Source organism: Homo sapiens, chromosome 11 (genome assembly GCF_000001405.40).
Source record: "Homo sapiens chromosome 11, GRCh38.p14 Primary Assembly".
Classification (NCBI taxonomy): Eukaryota; Metazoa; Chordata; class Mammalia; order Primates; family Hominidae; genus Homo; species Homo sapiens.
The window spans coordinates 120,454,720-120,476,806 of NC_000011.10; the positions used below are offsets into that span (position 1 = coordinate 120,454,720).

Below are 22,087 nucleotides of genomic sequence, written 5' to 3' on the forward strand. Positions count from 1 at the left end.
GAGGCCTTAGCTCCTCACTCATGGCCTTGGCTCCTTGCCACATGGACTTTTCCATAGAGATACTTGAGTGTTCCATGAAATGGTAGCTGGCTTTTCCCGAGTATCCCAAAAAAGAGAGCGAAAAGGAAGCCCCAATGTCTTTTCTGACTTAGTCTCTATAGGTGCACTCTGTCACTTCTGCAAGTTAGAAACAAGTCACTAAATCTAGCCCATACTCAGGGAGGGAGGAATTAGGCTCCACCCCTGAGGGGAGAAATATCAAAAAATGTGTGGGTATATTTTCAGACCACCACAGCGATCAGAGTTTAAAGGAAAAAAAAGAAGTCCCTAAAATTAAAGTCAAGGAAATATTTTAGAGTGTACATCAGAAATATGAAAGGATAGAAATTTGAGAGAAAAGAATTATATAGGGAACCACTACAGAGAGCCAACATCTGTCTCTTTCACAAAAAGTCAGCTGAGGACATGGAGAAGAGATGGTTAAACAACAGGAGAAAGTTTCCCAGAGTTGAAAAAGAATACCCATCTTCAGGTGGAAAGGGCTCACTGAGAACCATCTATAGTGAATGCTTTTTAAAAAATCCATTCCTAACATGTCCTTTGAAACTGTAGTGCACCAGGGATAAGCTTTCAGAGGAAAAAAAATGGGGATTACACTGCATCACATTCCTCATCATAACACTGGATGCTGAAATACAAAAGAGCCATGCCTTCAACTTTCTGAAGGAAAATGGTTTTGAACTTAGAATCCTGTATCCATCCAAGCTATTCATCAAATATGAAGAATGAATAAAGACATTTTCAGATACACAAGGTCCACAGTTTAACTGGAATGTACCTTTCCCTTTGAAATCATTTGAGGATACACATTCTAGCAACATGAGAGGAAAAATTAAGAAAGAAAATGTCCTGGGATCCAGGAAACACTGGAAACACCCAGGAAAGTGGCAAAGGGCAATTCTAAAATGATGGTTGTGTAACAGGCCAGGAGAGCCACTGCTCCAGATTGGAACACAAGAACATCACAGATAAGAAAATGGGGATTTTAGGCAGTGGATAGTATGAAGCAGCAGAGGAAATAGTTTGAGACTTGATAGAATTATATAACTTTGACAGCAATAAAAGAAAAGCATTTAGAAATGTTAAGAAAAACAGAATTGTTCAGGAAAATAAGTCATGATTTAAACATGAAGCAAAATAAAAAGTGGCATGATCTTTAGCAATTGATGGTGTGTAAGAAAGACTTTAATAAATGTTCTATTTGAAGTGGCCCATGGATTGCATCATTGGACCGGTAGGAAAAAATATATAATCCTAACTAGTATATTTCTTAATCTGGCAGGAATGATGTATATATGTATGTAGTAGACGACAGTATATATATGTCATAAGCATTCTTTCTTGGTTTTCAGACTTTTAGAATAACCCTACCAGGCAAGCATGGAGTAGTTCATTATGGCTGCAGGTTAGAATATAAATGTAAAAAATTCTTTTAATGATGCAAGTAAAAATGTAGTTGAAAGAAATGGAAGGTAGAAGGAAGGAAATACAATTAGAGGGAGGATGTGGACACTGAATACCTAATCTGACACAGAAGAGAGTTGAGATACTAACTTTTTGATAGAACAAAAACATAGACATGTCATTTAAATTTAGGTAGTAACTAATAACCCAGCTAGTAATAATGATAAAACTATTAAACATTGGGAAGAAATGGTAGAAAAGTGAAAGTGGAAAGTGTAAGTCAACAAAATCCTCAGAGGGGAAAGAAATAGATATTAACTAAAGATAATAAATCATGAAAAAGAGGTTATTTGTAGTTGGACCACTGTAATAACTCACATTTGAAAACATGAAAAAGGATTGATACTGGGAGTAGAAAAGGATAAGATGGGAAAATGTTGTTCCTCATCATATACTCTTCTGCACTGTGTGAGTCCTTGCTATTTCTTACGTTAATTTTTAAGAAACAGTTTTAAAAATTATTTTTCTGACCAGGCATGGTGGCTCACACCTATAATCCTAGCACTTTGGGTGGCCAAGGCGAAAGGATTGCTTGAGCCCAGGAATTCAAGACTAGCCTGGGCAAAGTAGCAAAACCCTATCTCTACAAAAAAATTAAAAATGAGCCAGGTGTGTGTGGTGGCACGCAACTGTAGGCCCCGCTACTTGGAAGGCTGAGATGGAAGGATCATATGAGGCTGAGATGGGAGGATCATGTGAGCCTGAGATGCCATAATTTTGTATATTAAATTTTTAGTTCTAGTGAACCTGCAGTTGTTTAAATAAGAATGTAGCTATGGATTAGGCTGAAGCTGTTCTGGGAACTAATTTTTTTTGGTGACCAGTGACTTTATTAAGTATTAACACTCTTCAAATGTCTGACTTTTGTCTACAGGATCAAAGCAAGTTGGAGAAACATCAGCACCTGGAGACACCTTAGATGGCACACCTCGTACTCTCAATACTGTCTTTGATTTCCCACCACCTCCATTAGACCAAGTGCAGGAGGAGGAATGTGAAGTAGAAAGGTAATTCAGTGATCTCTTAGAGAAGCTTAGGGCATTACTTAAAGTTTTTAAATTATATGCTATTCCTATACTTAGTAGCATTCTAGCACTGAAGCCTGGCATGGTGGTATGTACCTATAATGCCAGCTACTTGGGAGGCTGAGGCAGGAGAATCAATCACTTAAACTCAGGAGTTTGAGACCAGCCTGGGCAACGTAGTGAGCCCCCACTTCAAACTGTAAAAAATAAAATAAATAAATAAATAAATAAGTTGGGTGCATAAAAGAACTAAAACACCATTTCAGAACTCATAACTGAAATGTAGAAAGGTACTCAAATTTTCTTCAATTTATTTTATATTAAATTATTACAATATCCCAAAGAATTATTTATCAAGCTGCTGGAGTTTAACCTAGCTTTGAGTATCTTTGGTATAAATGTATTGATCACCATTTTGTTTTCATGTTACTCTTTACTTTCCATTGTTTTAGGGTGACTGAACATGGGACACCAAAGCCCTTTCGAAAGTAAGTAAATCTTAAGCAGCTTTCAATAAAGGCGCATTTTAAGAAACGTAACCTTTTTTCCTCTAAAGTTTCATTTTAAAGGAAAAGAAACCCTGTATACCAATCTGTTATGTAGTATAAAAGAAAGCTCTTAAGAAACACTGGTCATTCAAAAGCTGTATTTTGAAGTATGTATAAAACAGCCATTTGTAGGAGAGGATGAAATTTCAGTGCTAAGTCAGATTCAGGAATCTGATTAGAATTTATTGTAATATAAAGATTTGTGCTGTTTCTCATTGTCCACCTAAAGTCTTCAAATTGAATTCACTCTTTTTTCTTCATAGGTTTGACAGTGTAGCTTTTGGAGAAAGTCAAAGTGAGGATGAACAATTTGAAAATGACTTAGAGACAGATCCACCCAACTGGCAGCAGCTTGTTAGTCGAGAAGTGTTACTGGGACTAAAACCTTGTGAAATCAAAAGACAGGAAGTGATTAATGGTGAGTGTAATCAATTTGTTGTTGTTGTTTACAAATACTGAGTTTTGTCAGAGTGAATTAAGTCTCTCAGCCTTGGAGTTTGCTTCAAAGTTTCTCCTAGCCTTTTGTTTTAAACAAAGAGGAAATTAAACTGGACAGATAATCCTTGAACTCAAGAAAATGCAAATGTTTCTCTGATTCTTATTGATAATTTAAAAGGAAAATGTGTTAAGCCTTAAAGATATTTAAGATTCATAGCATTATAGATCTTAAAGTTGAAAAGTCATTGCAACAACTAAGTTATTTTTATGCATAGATTTTAAATGAGGAAGGTAAAGCCCAGGGAGATTGAATTCGTTAAGATCATACAGCTAATAACGTGTAAGGAAAAAAATTCAGTTCCTGGTCTTTCTGTATCGAAGTGCAGTGTTCTTTATTTACCCTAGCATGTATGTGATAAATGTGTGGCATGGGTGCTGTACCCTTTACTATCCTTAGCATGTGATATGAATAAATATCTTGTCTCTGACAATACTGAGACATAATGAAATTATAAGCCTGACCCCAGAAGTGAGTGTTTATAGGCAAATTAGATAACCAAAAGTACTATTATTTCTTAAGAGGGCTCAAGTTAAAGGCTATATGATGTTGGGGCTTACAGTTTTCTTAATGATGTAGTTGTGATAGGTGGGTATTATTGTAAACAGCTGGATGTGTTTGGGAATACACTAAAAAAAATAGTTTTGAATGATATTTTTTATTTGTCAGTATTCAACTCTCAGAGCCAGTATGTAGGAAAATTTCTTGGAATCAGAATGACTTCAGAGATATTTCATCCTTTCTAAATGATAAATAATTTATTATATAATTCATTTGCTACTTCACTCCAGCTAAAGACTATGATTGATCCCATGGAATTGTTCTAAGTAAGGCAACATTTCATATCTCTTTCCTGTTCAGAATTGTTCTACACTGAAAGAGCTCATGTTCGAACACTGAAGGTTCTTGATCAAGTGTTCTATCAGCGAGTATCCAGAGAAGGAATTCTGTCACCCTCAGAGCTACGGAAAATTTTTTCAAACTTGGAAGATATTCTTCAACTTCATAGTAAGAGAAATTAGCTCTGATCTTTGCCCCTAACATTTCCAATAGAGAAAAGATTGTGAGTTTAAAATTTTGTAAATGTACCCATGTTAGTATTCCTGAGATTATGTGTGAGAATGTAAGATAAATAAAGGAATGATTGGAACTTTGACTAGATCCTTTTCCTCACAATCAATCTTTCATGTACAATGTGTCAACATAGGGCTTCCAGTCTAAAGTCATTGCCTAAGGTGAAAAACATGAATAGTCAAATTCACCGTTGAAAATTTTCTATCAATTATAGTATATATATCTCTTTAAATATATATATCCAATATAATAATATACGTATAAATGTGTTTTGTAAATAGTAGTGTATGGTATATAATCACATGGTTCGGTAATTTTTAGGAATTGTTTTTATTTTTTTGAGATGGAGTCTCGCTCTGTTGCCCAAGCTGGAGTGCAGTGGTGCAGTCTTGGCTCACTGCAACCTCTGCCCCCTGGGTTCAAGGGATCCTCCCACCTCAGCCACCTGAGTAACTGGGATTACAGGCGTGCGCCACCACACCCAGCTAATTTTTGTATTTTTCGTAGAGATGGGTTTCACCATGTTGGCCAGGCTGGTCTCAAATTCCTGACCTCAAGTGATCCACCCGCCTGCCTTGGCCTCCAAAGTGCTGGGATTATAGGCATGAGCCACTGCCCCGGCCTCAGGAATTATTTTATTGTTTTGTTGCTTGGAACACTTGAATAAGTATATAAAAATTCTACCTTGTTGACATTTTATTGGTTGAAGTCATCTTGGACTTTTGTGGACAGTAATATGATGTTCCTCTCATTTATAGGTCACTATTTCTCTATGACCCTTAATTTTTTTATCTTTCTTTTTCATGTCATCACTAACTATCAACATCTGCTAACTAAATTGATGCCTTTTATTCCTTTGTGGATAATCTTGGGTTTCACAGGCATGCATTGACAAGTTCAGGCTTGATTACATCCATTGCCTGCACACTTAACACATTTTGAGAGGATCAGTGAACAGAATTACTTGTACTGTTTAAATTCAAGTTCTTTTTGAGCATGATTATAGATGGAGTCTTGAGGTTCAATGAATATTTGATGCAACCACCGTGTATGTAATGTGCTAGTTTCCAAAAATGTTTTTTGTTTAGCACCTGTTTTTCAGATAGAGCTTATAATATCCAGATGTGTAAGCACTATGTCCAGATTTATATTTAAGGAGATAAGAAGCAGCTGTACTACTGTGAAAATCGTCTTTATAAAAAAAAAAAATTAGCTACTCTGTACTACCAGTAATTCTGTCTACACTGAATGTGTTACTAACGTTTTTCTATCTTTTTATCTTTAGTTGGATTGAATGAACAAATGAAGGCTGTTCGAAAGAGAAATGAGACCTCTGTTATCGATCAGATTGGGGAAGATTTGCTGACATGGGTAAGGAAATTTTCTGTTTCTTTTTAATATTTTTATGGACACTTGATGGTTAGATTCAAGTTGAGTAACTAACCTTTCCAAATATGCAAACTCATCCATGTTGCAAAGTTAATGCAAAGCTGAGAAAGGTCAAGCAGTAGATTCCATTTCAAGAAACCACCTGTTTTGCTCATCTGTAAGAAGCAGACCCTTATCCATTAAAAGTCATACCATGAGATTGCAGTGATTCAGTCACACCTTCAGGCTCCACTGTAATCCTAGTTTTTTTGCAGTTACCTCTTCCACTGAAGTCTTGAACCCCTCGAAGTCACCTATGAGGGTTGGAATCAACTTCCAAACTCCTGTTAATATTGATATTTTGACCTCCTCCTGTGAATTATGAATGTTCTTAATGGCATCTAGAATAATGAATCCTTTTCAGAAGGTATTCAGTTTGCTTTGCCCAGACCAATCAGAGGAATCACCTTATGAAATATATTTCTTAAATAATAAGACTTGAAAGTGAAAATTACTCCTTGGTCCATGAGCTGCAGAATGGATATTGTGTTAGCAGGCCTGCAAACAACATTGATCTCCTTGTACATCTCCATCAGAAGTCTTTAAGTGACCATGTGCATTGTCAATGGGCAGTAATATTTTAAAAGTAACTTTTTTTTTTTCTGAGCAGTAGGTCTTAACAGACATGCTGTCATCTAGGCTTTGTTGTTTCATTTATAGAGCACAGACAGAGTAGATTTAGCATTATTCTTAAGGGTCCCAGGAATTTCAGAATGGTAAACAATCATTGGCTTCAACTTAAAGTCATTGGCCCCTAACAAGAGAGCTGGCCTTTCTTTTGACATGCTGAAGTCAGACATTGATTTCTCCTCTCTAGCTATGAAAGTTCTAGATGGCATCTTCTTCCAATAGAAGGCTATTTCATCTACATTGAATATCTGTTGTTCAGTGTAGCCACTGTAATCAATTATCTCAGGTACGTCTTCTGGATAACTTACTATAGCTTCTACTGCTATATCAGCACTTGCTGCATCACTTTGTACTTTTATTTTTATGGAGATGACTTCTTTTCTTAAATCTCATCAGTTTACCCCTGCTACCTTCAAACTCTTCGTCTGCAGCTTCCTTACCTCTCAGCCTTCATAGAATTGAAGAGAATTAGGGGCTTGCTTTGTATTAGGCTTTGGCTTAAGGGAATATTGTGGCTGATTTCATCTTCTTTATACAGACTAATAGGCTGTTTCACTTTCCTCTTGTTCATTTGTTCATTGGAGTAGCACTTTTATTTCCTTCAAGAATTTTTTCTTTGTGTTCACAAGTTGGCCATTTGGCGTAAGAGCCAAATCTCAGCTTTTGACATGCCTTCCTTACTAAACTTAATCATTTCTAGCTTTTAATTTCAAGTGAGAGATATGTGACTCCTCACTTGAACCCCTAAAGACCATTGCAGCATTGTTAATTGGCCCAAATTCAATATTGTTGTGTCTCAGAATAAGGAGGCCCAAGGAAAGGGAAGAGAGTTGGGGGAATGGTCAGTTGGTGGGGCGGTCAGAACACACACAACATTTTTCCATTAGGTTTGCCACCATATGTGGGTGCAGTTCATGGTGCCCCAAAGCAATAAATAGTAACATCAAAGATCACTGATGACAGATCACCGTAACAGAGTAAAATGAAACAGCTTAAACTATTATGAGAACTACCAAAATGTGGCACAGAGACATGACATGAGCACATGGTTTTGGAAAAACGGCACCAACAGACTTGCTCAGGGTTGCCATCAACCTTCAATTTGTAAAAAATGGAGTATCTGCAAAGTACAATAAAAATGTGAGGTATGCCTGTACCTGTAAAAAGTTGAGGAAAAGCAGAATGGTGGTTTGTAACTGTCACATACAAAGCGTTAATTTAGAAGAAGGCATTGGCCAGAAATCATAAAAGCAAAAATCATAAATAGGCCTTTAGATTTTACTCTTGCTGTTTAAATAAAATCATTTTGGAAAGTATTTTTCCAGTATTGTTTCCTTAAGATCACTTTACATACACAGACAATCCTTGACTTACTATGGTTCCAACTTCGACAGTTTTTTTACTTTACAGTGGTGGGAAAGTAATACACATTCAATAGAAACCATACTTTGAATTTTGAATTTTAATCTTTTCCGGAGCTTGGCAATATGTGGTATGTTACTCTTGATGCTGGGCAGCAACAGTGAGCCACAGCTCCTGGTCAGCCATGTGATCACAGGGTAAACAACCACTCTACAGTGTACTGTACTGCTAGATGATTTTGCCCAGCTGTAGGCTAATGCAAGTGTTCTGAGCACATTTAAGGTCAGCTAGGCCAAGCTATGGTATTTGGTAGGTTCAGTGTATTAAATGCTTTCTCAACTTAAGATATTTTCAATTTTTGATGGTTTTATTAGGATATAAGTTCATCAGAAATCAAGGAACATCTATACTTAAACTGCTTGTAAAACTACTGTAGAGGCCGGGCGCAGTGGCTCATGCCTATAATCCCTGCACTTTGGGAGGCCGAGGCAGGCAGATCACCTGAGGTCAGGAGTTTAAGACCAGCTTGACCAACATGGAGAAACCCCATCTCTACTAAAAATACAAAATTAGCCAGGCATGGTAGTGCATGTCTGTAATCCCAGCTACTCGGGAGGCTGAGGCAGGAGAATCGCTTGAACCTGGGAGGTGGAGGTTGCGGTGAGCTGAGATCGAGCCATTGCACTCCAGCCTGGGCAACAAGAGCGAAACTCAGTCTCAAAAAAAAAAAAAAAAAAAAACCAAAAAAAACTACTGTAGAACTGCTTGAGTTTGGGGGCATTATTTTCTTTGGTAAACCCAGCTGCTTTTTGTAGTTGTGTGGTGCTTTGATTGACTAACATGCTAAAAATGCTGCCAGTCTCCTTGTTAAACATGTTAAATGTCATATTCATCATAGAGTAAGAATACAAAATTGGAGTGACCTATTAAAATATTGCTTTGTATGTGTCCTACTTGAAAAAATACTCTGAATTTATCTACAAATGCGCTACAGGCGGGCTTTTTACAAAATGCCTTTATGTACAAACTTTTGGGAATATGGCTTTAAATGGAAGATTATATGGAAAACATCTTCGTAAACCATAAAGCAATTATCTACAAGTATAGAGGCTGTATTAAAAAACAATGTATTTGACTTCTACGAGCACCTACTAGTAAATCACTTTTTAGGTGTTTAACCATCAGAAATCTTAAAATCATGGCACATGCAAACTTAAATTTACAAATTAAAAAACATTAGTGAGAAGTATAATTTTTAGCAAAAGAATTCATAAGCTCATTGATCTCCCCCAAGCCAGCTCCAGCTGCTGCACAGGTGAAACAGCAGTGATTTAATTTTGTTTCAACACAGAAAACTTACGGCCTGCCCATGGTCATAGTGGGTTTTATACTGAGTAAGAAGGAATGCTAGTATGCCAAGGATTTGCTTCCCAGAGTAGTAAGACAGTAGTTGTTGTAAAGGCTTCAGGGTGTAAGAAAATTAAATTTTAGGCCAGATGTAGTGGCTCATGCCCATAATCCCAGCACTTTGAGAGGCCAAGGCAGGCGGATCACTTGATGTCAGGAGTTCAAGACCGGCCTGGCCAACATGGTGAAACCCCATCTCTACTAAAAATACAAAAAAAATTAGCCAGGCGTGGTGGCACACGCCTGTAGTCCCAACTACTTGGGAGGCTGAGACAGGAGAATCACTGGAACCTGGGAGGCGGAGGTTGCAGTGAGCTGAGATTGCACCACTATACTCCAGCCTGGGCCACAGAATGAGACTGTCTGAAAAAAAAAAAAATGAAAATTTAGTCTCAGTCTTCAGGCATTTTGTATCTTATATTCTCCAAATGTCAGCTTGTCTGTGTAATTTATAAGTAACGTAGGCTGAAAGGTAATAGGTTGTGATAGGCTACAAGCAAGAAAACATTGGGACTGGGCACAGTGGCTCACGCCTGTAATCCCAGCACTTTGGGGACACCAAGGTGGGCAGATCACCTGAGGTCAGGAGTTTGAGAACAGCCTGGCCAACATGGTGAAACCCCATCTCTACTAAAAATACAAAAATTAGCTGGGTGTGGTGGTGTGTGCCTGTAGTCCCAGTTACTTGGGAGGCAGAGGTGAGAATCTCATGAACCTCAGAGGCAGAAGTTGCAGTGAGCCAAGATCATGCCATTGTACTCCAGCCTGGGCGACAGAGCAACACTGTCTCAAAAAAAAGAAAAAAAAAAGAAGAAGAAAACATTGGAATATGATCAGAAAAGGTCTGGTTGTGTCAAGATCAGACCTTTTTAATGGAGAACCATTGATATTCCACATAGATATGCAGTTCTGTGTATTTTGTCACTTGAAATATTGAAAGGATTCTGGTTGTCTGTCACTTTGTCTGGCTTGTATAAGCTCAGTTTCCCATTCTCTTTTGTGTTCTTTGCATTCTTGGCACAGTTCAGCGGACCAGGAGAGGAGAAATTGAAACATGCTGCTGCTACCTTTTGCAGTAACCAACCTTTCGCCCTGGAAATGATCAAATCTCGTCAGAAAAAGGATTCTCGATTTCAGACTTTTGTGCAAGTGAGTTGAGTGAGTCATGTAAGAAAAAAAATAAGGCAAGTTTTTATCAATTATCAGATAAACTGGGGGAATTCTGACTAAGACTTTTACAAAGATTACATCTGTGTTAACTTTTTTTTTTTGAGACAGGGTCTCGCTGTGTTGCCCAGGCTGGAGTGCAATGGCACAATCTCAGCTCACTGCAACCTCTGCCTCCTGGGTTCAAGCGATTCTCCTGCCTCAGCCTTCCTAGTAGTTAGGATTACAGGTACATGCTACCACGCCCTGCTAATTTTTTCTATTTTTAGTAGAGACGGGGTTTCACCATGTTGGCCAGGCTGGGCTCGAACACCTGACCTCAAGTGATCTGCCCACCTCGGCCTCCCGAAGGGATTACAGGTGTGAGCCACTGCACCTGGCCCACGTTAACATTTTTAAAAGCAATACATTATCTCTTAAATTCCTGGAAGGTACAAAAATGACTTTGGAATGGTGAAGAATAATAAAAAATATATGTCAGGATTAAAATACTTAATATAGAAATCCACATTGCCACGAGGCTTTTATCAGTAAACAACCGTATGCTCTATTAAGAGAATATTGTCAAAGCATGAGAATGGGTTTATCCAGGGAAAAACGTAACAGCAGCCACACTCATTGGGGTATATGAATTAAGGGTTGGTAAACTATGGCCGACAGACCATATCTAGTCTGTTACCTGTTTTTATAAAGTTTTATGTAAATACAAACATGGCCGCTTGACAGATTTCTCACAGTTGTTGTGGTGTGTGGGTATGGTTTAGCAGGTTCCTCCCTTGAGAGTTTGACCAGGCTGAGATCACAGCGTCAGCGGGAGCTGCAGTTTTCATCTGATGCTCGAGGTTCTCTTCTAAGCTCACTGGTTGTTAGCAGAGTTCATTTCTTTGTAAATGTATAACTGAGGTCCTACCTTGCTAGCTATTGGCTAGGAACCAGTTTCAACTCCTAGAGAACAGAGAGATCTCTGCCATATGGCCCCATTAGGCAGTTTAGAGGTGGATGTTTGCTTTCTTCCAGGCCAGTAGGAATGTGGCTTTCTGACACAGATTTGTTTTAAAGGCTCCTCTAATGAAATCAGGCCCAGCCAGGATAATTTCCTTTCTTATGATCTCAAAATCATGTGGTGGCAACCTAATCATAGGTGTGATATCCCATTGTAATCACAGATTCCAAAAATGTTCATACTCAAGGGCATAGGATTACACAGAGTATTTACACAAGAGGATGGGAACCTTGGAGGCCATATTAGAGTTCTTTACTACACAGAGCCTTGTTCATTCACTTATGCCAAAACAGTAGAGCTGAATAGTTGTGAGAGAGACTATATGGCCTGCAAAGCCTAAAATATTTACTATCTGGCATTTTACTAAAAACTTTGCAGACCACTGGTATAGATGAGCTGGCATACTCGACTGGTTATCCATTGTGCATACTTGGAATGGCAGATAACAAATTAGCTAACCAATTTTGGTAGGAATGTCAATCATAGGAGAATGGACCTAGATTTTCTGAATAGGTGAAGATAAAACTGTTTCAACACAAGGAAGCGATACGTAGAGCTGCTTATGGATGCTTTCAGTCCTTCCTTAAACAGATAACAAGCCATTCATTTAGTAATAGAGGCTCCCTTCCCCCATTATGTGATTAAAGGAGAAAGCAGAAGTATATTGTGGCAATGATATATCTTGGCATTTTTTAAAGATCTTGATTTAATAACCAGAACTGTGATGCATTAAACCCTCACGGTGAATACATGGTACATGTATAAGTTCAAATAAGAATTACAGATTCACTTATTTCACTTTAATTTTAGGATGCTGAAAGTAATCCACTGTGTCGTCGTCTTCAACTGAAGGATATTATTCCCACTCAAATGCAAAGGCTTACTAAGTACCCACTTCTGTTGGATAATATTGCCAAATACACAGGTACAGCATTTTCACTGAAATAAAAAGCTTAAGAACAACAACAACGAAACACCCAATATCCTGTAAATAATATCTTACAGCGTCCTGAATGGAGTTGGATTTCCAAATAGTATGACAAGATTTTCTTTTTTTTTTTTTTTTTTTCCTTTTTTGAGACAGGGTCTCACTCAGTCTTGCAGGCTGGAGTGCAGTGGCACAATCATAGTTTCCTGCAACCTCAAACTCCTCGGCTCAGGCATTCCTTCCACCTCAGCTTCCCGAACAGCTGGGACTACAGGGGTACACCACCACACTTGGCTTTTTTTTTTTTTTTTTTTAGCAAGGGTCTCACTATGTTGCTCAGGCTGGTCTCAAACTCCTGGCCTCAAGCAGTCCTCCTGCCTCCCAGAGTGCTGTGATTATAGGCATGAGTCACCATACCCAGCCAAGATTTTCTAACAAGATATGATCTAGTCTTCTTCGGGCTGTTTGATATAATGTACTCCATTAGTAGCTTTAGTACGGGGTATATCAAACTATGAATCATAGACCAAGTCATGCTCACTGTCTGTTTTTGTAAATAAAGTTTTATTGGAGCACAGCCGTGCTCGTCTGTTTATGTACTGTCCCTGATTGCTTTTACATTATAACAGCAGAGTCGAGTAGTTTTATCGGTGCCCATTTGGCCTACAAAGTGTAAAATTATCTGGTTCAACCATCCTTGTTCTAGCCTGCATCATTTTTGCTTTGAAGAAGGTTCATCCTTGGCTGAAGAGATGTTTCATGGATATCTATCAATGACTTTTATTAAGCCAAATCAATGCGGTGTAATTCCAACTCTCCCGTTTTGAAACATGAAATGAATCTGTTTCTCAGCTGAGCTTTAGGTTCTTATACTTAGCTCTCATTAATAATTTAATGCAACTGAAATCTTGTTTCTTGTGCCTGAGAATTTGAATGCATAAGCAGGAAATTTTAAATTATGGTACCTGGTAACAAAAGTGGTTTACACTCATACATATTAATTTTTACACTTTAATATATCTGCTCAGTGTAGTTAGACTGTGGTTTGGAGGATTATAATTTTGAATGTTCTGATTTTGGTCTTCTTTGTATTATAGACATGACATAGCCTCAATACGTTTTGTCTTGTTTTGTTTTGTTTTGTTTTGTTTTTTTGAGACGGAGTCTCGCTCTGTCGCCCAGGCTGGAGTGAAGTGGCACAATCTCTGCTCACTGCAACCTCCACCTCCCGGGTTCAAGCAATTCCCCTGCCTCAGCCTCCCGAGTAGCTGGGATTACAGGCGCACGCCACCACACCTGGCTAATTTTTTTGTATTTTTAGTAGAAACAAGGTTTCACCATATTGGCCAGACTGGTCTTGAACTCCTGACCTCAGGCAGTCCGCCTGCCTTGGCCTCCCAAAGTGCTAGGATTACAGGCATGAGCCACCTTGCCTTGCCGCCTCAATACGTTTTGATGAATTTCATCTTCTTTTAATGTAATCTATTTTCTTTCTTTAAATATAATCTCAAATTCAAAGAAACTTGTTTTGGAATTATTTTGAATTGTGTTATTAAAAAATTTTGTTTAACAAGTTCACTGGACATAATTATGTAGGCTATGCACTGTGAAATTCTGAGGGGAGAAGGGATTTCCATTTATATTATTTACAAAGTAAATGAGACCTGCCCTTCTGGAGTGTATAGTATAGTGGTCCTGGTACTTCACGTAAAGCATCTCTTCTTGGATTTCGGGTTCTGTACTGTGATTTCTTTTTAAAGATTAGAATTTATGTTTTAAAGTCCTGTTATAAGAAGTTTTACCTGTCCAAAGACTGCTTGAATTGAGACTCTGACAGAGGCTTTAAGCTGGTACAAAAATCTTCAAGGTCTTAATATGCTCTTAAAAGTATTGAAATGAAATGAAATCTCATTTACATATATTTTATGGTTTTTTGCTCAGTTCTTTTACATTTTGGATTTCTTTCCCATATTTAGAATGGCCAACAGAAAGGGAGAAGGTGAAGAAAGCTGCAGATCACTGTCGTCAGATCTTAAATTATGTAAATCAGGCTGTCAAGGAGGCAGAAAACAAGCAGGTAAAAAAGGAAAACAAGAAGGTACAGGATGACATTGGGAGAACATTAAATTAATATTACCTGGAATCTGTGAAATAGTTGTTAAAACTATCATTACCTAATGGACAGGGAGAACATTTGTTTACTGTTCGCATAGTAGGCAGGTCAAGATCAATCTGTGATAGAATATCGGAGTTGTATTTGACTTTTTGAAACACCTCAAGCTGCTTGTTTGCTCTTTCATTTATCTCTTCATTCAGCAGATATTTATAGAACATCTACTGTATGCTGGGCATAGGGTACAGAGTAGTTGAGAAAATGAGTGCAATATCTGCCCACACTGAGCTTGTTTGCTAGGAGGATAGAAAGGCATTTAACAGGATTATAGTGCAAATATTTTGTATCAGTTGTGATAGCTACTATCAAGGATAATTTCAAGATGCTACGATATATAACTATGGGGCCTAGCTTAGTTTGGGGATGTTAGGTGGTGCCTATTAGAGAAAATTTTCTTGAGGAATTGACACTTGAGCCAAGCTCTGAAGGATGAGTGGAAGTGAACCAAAATGATGTGAAGGGTGCAACCCTAGAGGTAGAGGCAATATATACCAAAGTCCTGACGGAAAAAGAAAGCATGGTCTGTTGGAAGAATTGAAAATTTACATGAGTGTGGATCATGCCTAAAAAGCAAAGTCAGAGTGGCATAAAATGAGGTAAAGTAGACCAAGGCCAACTCATAAAGGCCCTAGAGATCAGGTTAAAGATTTTGATTTGTCTTCTTAAGTGCAGTAGGAATTCAGCATAGACAAGTAAGAATATAGTGTTCAGATTTTCATTATCTGAACTAGTACTCTATGGAGAATGAGTTGAAGAAGGGTGGTGGATGAAAGAGCCCATTTATTAACCTCTTGCAGCAATCTAGGATAGATGATGGCAGCTTAGAGAAGTTGGAGAAGTATTTAGAAGGTAAAATTGACAGGACTTGATGACTGATTTGAAGAAGGATTTGAAGGAAAAGTGATGTCAAGAATAAACCCCCAGGTTTCTGGATTGCATATTTGGATGGACAGGATGAGTGGAGAAGCCCCACGTTTGTGGGGAAGATGATGAGGTCACTCTGGGATATCAGGTAGACATGCACAGTAAGCAGTTGGCTGTATGGGCCCACCTCTAAGAGGACCATGTTGAAGATAAAAATTCAAGATTGTGAGCATACAGGGGCTGATTGAATCCGTGAACACGGATGTAGTTTCTTAGGAGCTGAGTATGATTACAACTCTCTTGGTGAGGCTGTAGAAAAACTAGTACTTTCAGCTGTGCTGTTCAGAGTGTAAAATGATAAAACCCCAGAGGGTTATGTAGCAATATTTATCTAAATTAAAACTCTGTAGGTACCCTTATATCTACCTTTTGACTCCGCAGTTCTGTTCCTAGTGATTTGCTCAAGAGAAATGAACCATATTAGAGTTCTTTACTACACAGAGCCTGTTCATTTATGTATTATCTGTGGCTACTTTTGTTCCAAAACAGTGGAGCTGAACAACTGGGAGAGAGATTATATGGCCTGCAAAGCCTAACTGACATTTTACTAAAAACCTTGCAGACCCCTGGTATAGATGAGCTGGCATACTCAGGCTGGTTATCCATTGTGCCTGCCGGGAATGGCACATAACAAATTAACTAACTAACTTTAGTAGGAACACCAATCATAAGCAAATGGACCTAGATTTTCTGAATAATAAAATATATCTTTATCTGAAGATAAAGATATACCCACAAACAGACTTAGACCAGAATGCTTATAGCAACTTTATTCATAATAGCGAAAAGCTAGAAACAGCCCAAGAATTTATCAACAGAATGGATAAACCAACTGTGGTATAGTTATAAAATAGAATGCCCTGAGTGATAGGAAAGGAATGTACCACTAAGGCACACAACATGGATGAATCTCACAAACATGCTGAGTGGAAAAAAAACAGATGCAAAAGAGTACATACCTATGATTCCATTTATATGAACTTCTAAGAGAGACCAAACTATTCTATGGTAGGAAAAACCAGAAAACTGGTTCCCATTGGGGATGAGGAGGTAGAAATTAACTGGGAAGAAGTATGAGGAAACTTTCTGGGGTGATGGTAAAATTTTCTATCATGATAGAAGTTTAGGTTACACAAATGTGTAAGCACTTGTCAAAATTCATGGAACATACACTTGAAATGTGTGTTCTACTGTATGCAAATTTTACTTTTTTAAAAAGAACTGTATGGATGTTTAAATGTTTAGAGGTAAAGTGTACTTATGTCTGTAATTTATTTTGAAATGCATCCAAAAAATAAGATGGACTGATGGATAGAGGGATGAATAAATAGATATATGATAAAACAAATAGAGCAAATGTTAATTGTAGAATATAGATGGTAATATATAGGTGTTCACTATGCTCACTCAGACTTTTCCATGTATTTGGAAATGATATTGTGGGGGAATGTACATACCCTTTGATCCAACAGTTCTGGAAATTTATCCTACAGATATCCTACATGGATGTACAAAGACATATATTTAAGTCCACTTTATTACAGTATTGTTTGTTACAGAAGAGTTGAAGTAACTTAAATGCCCATCAGTAAGGCGTAATGAAATAAATTATAGTTTATTCAGAGAGTTTTACATCCTGTAGTCATTTATAAAAAAATGAAATAACTCTCTATATGTGCTAATGTGGAACAGTCCCCAAGATATAAGTCATACACCACACACACACACACGTGGGGGAATACGTATATGAATGTATTCTACCATTTCAATGAGGAATACATATAGGAATACCAAAGGAATGCATATATGAATATATTATGCTACCATATCTTGTTTTAAAAAAGGACATATACACACAACATGCACAAAGACAAGCATACTTATATATACATATATAAATAAATACATATCTGTTTGCATAGAATTTTTCTCAAAGGCTACCCAAGAAATGGATATTAGTGATTGCTTCTTTAGGGAAAATTGAGGGGGGTGGGGCAATAGGACAAGGTTAGAGGGAGACTTTTTATTTTTTGCCTTATATAGCCATCTGAATTTTGTACTGTGTGCATGATTTACATATTCAGAAAATAAATATAAGCTAATAAGAGACCAATGACTTTGAAAAGAAGATTGAGAAAGAAAAGCCAAAGAGGCAGGAGGAAAACTAGGAGAGTATATTATCACCAAAGCCACGGGAAGAGAGTGAGTTTTCAGTCCTGTCTAGCATTGCAAAGAGCTCAGTAAAATGGAGATTTTTTTTTTTTGAGATGGAGTCTTGCTGTGTCGCCCAGGCTGGAGTGCAGTGGCGTGATCTCGGCTCACTGCAAGCTCCGCCTCCCAGGTTTGCACCATTCCCCTGCCTCAGCCTCCCAAGTAGCTGGGACCACAGGCGCCCGCCACCATGCCCGGCTAATTTTTTTTTATTTTTAGTAGAGACGGGGTTTCACTGTGTTAGCCAGGATGGTCTTGATCTCCTAACCTCGTGATCCACCTGCCTCAGCCTCCCAAAGTGCTGAGATTACAGGTGTGAGCCACCACGCCTGGCCAAAATGGAGATTTTAAATGCCAAGTTTGATTCAGAAATAGAGAGGTCATTAATGACCAAAGCACTAACCTTGGTTCCACCCTGCCTAATTTTCAGCGCCTAGAAGATTATCAGCGTCGCCTTGATACCTCCAGCCTGAAGTTGTCAGAGTACCCAAATGTTGAAGAGCTCAGGGTGAGAGATGGTCTAATCATAATTTAAAAAATAAAATAAAATTTGCTAAAGACCTGGCAGGTAATTAACATCTCAGTGGGAATATACGTCACCTGAAGGAGTTCTTGTATCGTAGATTATCTGTATTTATGATTTTTTTTGCTGCCTTTTAAATGCTTGATCTGTATGAAATTAGTTTTTCATTAGAGGAATATCTTGCATAAAACTGTAATATTACATGACAGCAATTGGCAGGAGACTAAGGGACACTAATTATTATAAAATTTAATTTTATTGTGTTCTGTAGTTTGTTTCAGACAGGGTCTTGCTCTGTTGCCCAGGCTGGAATGCAGTGGTGCAGTCTTGGCTCACTGAAGCCTTGGCCTCCTGGACTCAGGCAGTCCACCCACCTCAGCCTCCCTAGCAGCTAGGACTATAGGTATATGCCACCATACCCAGCTAATTCTGTGTTTTGTAAAGACAAGGTCTCGCTGTGTTGTCAGGTTGGTCCAGATTTCCTGGGCTCAAGTGCTCCTTTCTCAGCCTCCCACAGTGCAGGGATTACAGGCATGAGCCACTATGCCCAGCCTGTGTTCTGTAGTTTAAATAAGGGTAGGACTGTTTGGTAACTTTCCAGATCATTTAATAACACAAGATAGCATACTATTTTCTCATGAGGCTCTTCAGAAGCATAAAAGTTGGAACCATTACAGGAACGATAGTAAAATGTTTACTAATTGCCACTTCTAGTATGTGGGCTTATGTGTTAACTTTTTCGGATTTTAAGTGTTTTTGTACCATTTCACTAGGTGGTGGTTTTGGCAGATTTATTTGGTGGCTGTTAAAATAGACTTTTATGTCATATATTAATACTTCGTCAACAAGCACGTAAATGTGCTTATTCCCCTTAGCTTCCAAAGAATGAGAGTTTTCTAGAGCTGCTAATACTAAAAGATGATTCTCTTACTAATAAGTTGTTAATATTTAGACCAAGTCTGAGTAGTACCTGGACTTTTCATGAGTACTATTTCTTAGAACTTTCTTTGAAATTAGAGCCTTGGAACTCAGAAGCCACTTTCTTATAGACAAGCATATGTACCATGCTCATCCAGTTATTCATAGGAAAATTAAAGGATACGTTGAGAATCTAGTGACTGAATGTTTGTAACTTGATCTTCATAATCTGTTATCATCTGTTTAGAGTGAGGTTTGAAGATAGTACTCCTGAATGTTCTTCTGCAAGATACCTTTTCCTTTTTAGAAAATTGTATGCAGATTACTTTAATATGGCTTTTGTGCCATTTTCAAGAACTGACAAATAGCAATAATGATAGTTGAATGTAAATGGTGTATTTTATATTAAGAATTTCTTTAAAAGAGACTGTATTATATAGATAATCATGTTACTGAGTGCTTGGAAATTATTTGTGCATGATTTTCTTTATTTTGCCAGAATTTGGATTTAACAAAAAGGAAGATGATTCATGAAGGGCCATTGGTTTGGAAGGTGAATAGAGATAAAACTATTGGTAGGTCTGATATTGTCTTTTAGTTTTGGGGAGAGTGGCAAAAGGGAAGGAATAGGAAAGTTTCCTATGACAAAGGGAAGAGGAGAGAACCATTCTCTCAGCAGTTTGCAGTGCTACCTCGTGTTATTTGTACATTTGTAGATCTGCTTGTGTTATTTCATTATATGTAAGATGTGTTAAATATTCATTTAGGAATGTAGTGGAGAACTGATTTAGTCCTATTTCCATCATTCTTATAGTCTAGTGAGTCTTTGTATGCTTTGTAAGCTTTCTTTAGACCAGTACATCTTAAACTGTCTGTGATGAGGAACCGTTTTTGTTTTTTCAGAAACAAGGTCTTTCTATGTTGCCCAGGCTGGAGCACAGTGGCTAGTCACAGATGCAGTCATGGTGCACTGCTGCCTCGAACTCCTGGGCTTAAGGGATCCTCCTGCCTTAGCCTCCCTAGTAGCCGGGACTATAGGCGCACAGCACCACACCCAGCTTGTTGTTTTTTATTTCCTATTGGTCACAGACTGACACTTCAGTGAAATAAAATAAAAATGAATTACTGAAAATGAAATTTTAAAAGATAATATACAAGTCAATTTTTAAAATTTTGTAGCTTTAACAGAAATAGAATTCCTCTGTTGAATCATTATAAAGTTAATCAAACGCGTCTCCATTTCTGTACTTACCATTTTTTTCTGCACTTTTATTTCTAGATTTATACACGTTGCTGCTGGAAGACATTCTTGTATTGTTACAAAAGCAGGATGATAGACTGGTTTTAAGGTGTCATAGTAAGATTCTGGCATCTACAGCTGATAGCAAACACACGTTTAGCCCTGTCATTAAGTTGAGTACAGTGTTGGTTCGACAAGTGGCAACAGGCAAGTATGTCCACTGAAGGATACTAATTTCCAGATTCATTGTGAAGTTGCATAAGATACTCGGTGCTGTCTCAATAACACAAGTGGCATAGAGTCTTGCTATTTTTATATTCTTAAGCAAATTACATGAAATTTACTGCTTAGAAAGAGACCTAAGAGTTTATACCCCAAAGTTATTAGGGTGTCTCGATTCTGTGAACAGTTTTCTGCATTTGAAAATTTTTATGCTATTACTTTGGTTCTTTATGTTCAAATCATTGATAGATCCCAATGAAAAGCCTTTCATTTAGGGTGGTATGTTTTTTGATTTGGTGAGAAAAAAATCAAAAACCAAAGAGACGGATGTAGTGTTGATTAAAAATCAAATTTGACTGGCAAGTTATATTTTAACTCTATTAACAACGGGGTCCCTTTTAAAACTTGTTAGTTTCATGGTGGCAAAATAAATTTGTGACCTCTTTTCTCCACTACTCACTGAATATTATTAACTAACAACTTAGCAAAAGTGCAGTTCAAAATAAATGCAAAAGAGTAATAGCATTTAATCTGGTAATTTGGATTTATTTATTTTTTTTCTTTTGAGACGAGGGTCCCACCCTGTCACCCAGGCTGGAGTGCAGTGGTACAACCTTGGCACACTGCAACCTCCACATCCCAGGCTCAAGCAATTCTTCAACCTCAGCCTCCTGAGTAGCTGGGACTACAGGCATGCACCACCATGACCTGGCTAATTTTTTTGTTTTATGTAGAGGCAGGGTTTCGCCATGCTGCCCAGGCTGGTCTCGAACTCCTGAGCTCCAAGCGGTCCACCTGCCTCGGCCTCCTAAAGTACTGGGATTACAGGTGTGAGCCACCGTGCCCGGCCAGTAATTTGGATTTTTGACATGCTTTTAGCAAAGTTTCTAGTAAATTATTGTGGAATTAGTGCTAATTCGTATAATCTTTGTTTTATTGAAGTACAATAAATATAGTACAATAAATACGTTAATATGGTAAGTTGCACAAATTTTAAGTGTACATCTTGATGAATTTTAAAGTAAATATATGTAACCTTTATCTAGTTTAAGGGGCAGACTATTTCAAGACCCTAAAAACATCCCTCATGGCCTCCCCAGGTCATAGTATTAGAGTAATCTTGTATTGTTTTTTCCAGATAACAAAGCTTTATTCGTCATTTCCATGTCAGACAATGGCGCTCAGATTTATGAACTGGTGGCACAGACAGTTTCTGAAAAGACTGTGTATGTATCAGATATGGCTACCTTGCTATAGCTAATATTTTCATTATCCCAAGCGTAA

The 22,087-nt window shown here is 37.8% G+C and overlaps 1 protein-coding gene across 19 annotated transcripts in view, besides 2 other annotated features; it reads left to right on the forward strand.

Moving 5' to 3' along the window:
* Positions 1-22,087, forward strand: part of ARHGEF12 (Rho guanine nucleotide exchange factor 12) — a 153,525-nt gene that overhangs the window by 118,307 nt on the left and 13,131 nt on the right. For all 19 annotated transcript variants that reach the window (NM_015313.3, XM_006718805.4, XM_047426659.1 and 16 more), the window contains 12 exons: positions 2,399-2,531; positions 3,002-3,037; positions 3,361-3,515; positions 4,455-4,601; positions 5,953-6,038; positions 10,518-10,643; positions 12,475-12,589; positions 14,569-14,669; positions 18,331-18,408; positions 19,841-19,916; positions 20,621-20,788; positions 21,942-22,029. In NM_015313.3, coding sequence (NP_056128.1) covers positions 2,399-2,531; positions 3,002-3,037; positions 3,361-3,515; positions 4,455-4,601; positions 5,953-6,038; positions 10,518-10,643; positions 12,475-12,589; positions 14,569-14,669; positions 18,331-18,408; positions 19,841-19,916; positions 20,621-20,788; positions 21,942-22,029 — 1,309 coding nt within the window. The remainder of the gene's footprint in view (positions 1-2,398; positions 2,532-3,001; positions 3,038-3,360; positions 3,516-4,454; positions 4,602-5,952; positions 6,039-10,517; positions 10,644-12,474; positions 12,590-14,568; positions 14,670-18,330; positions 18,409-19,840; positions 19,917-20,620; positions 20,789-21,941; positions 22,030-22,087) is intronic.
* Positions 19,504-19,648: an enhancer, noted in NCBI's record as "145 bp 11:120345004 sequence used in MPRA reporter constructs". NCBI's record gives its function as "activates a minimal TATA-containing promoter with rs11217883 allelic activity by MPRAs in C283T melanocytes {active_cell/tissue: C283T}" and the evidence as "EXISTENCE:reporter gene assay evidence [ECO:0000049][PMID:36423637]".
* Position 19,576: a transcriptional cis regulatory region, noted in NCBI's record as "rs11217883 or 11:120345004 MPRA-significant variant associated with a GWAS melanoma risk locus at 11q23.3". NCBI's record gives its function as "allelic transcriptional activity by MPRAs in C283T melanocytes {active_cell/tissue: C283T}" and the evidence as "EXISTENCE:reporter gene assay evidence [ECO:0000049][PMID:36423637]".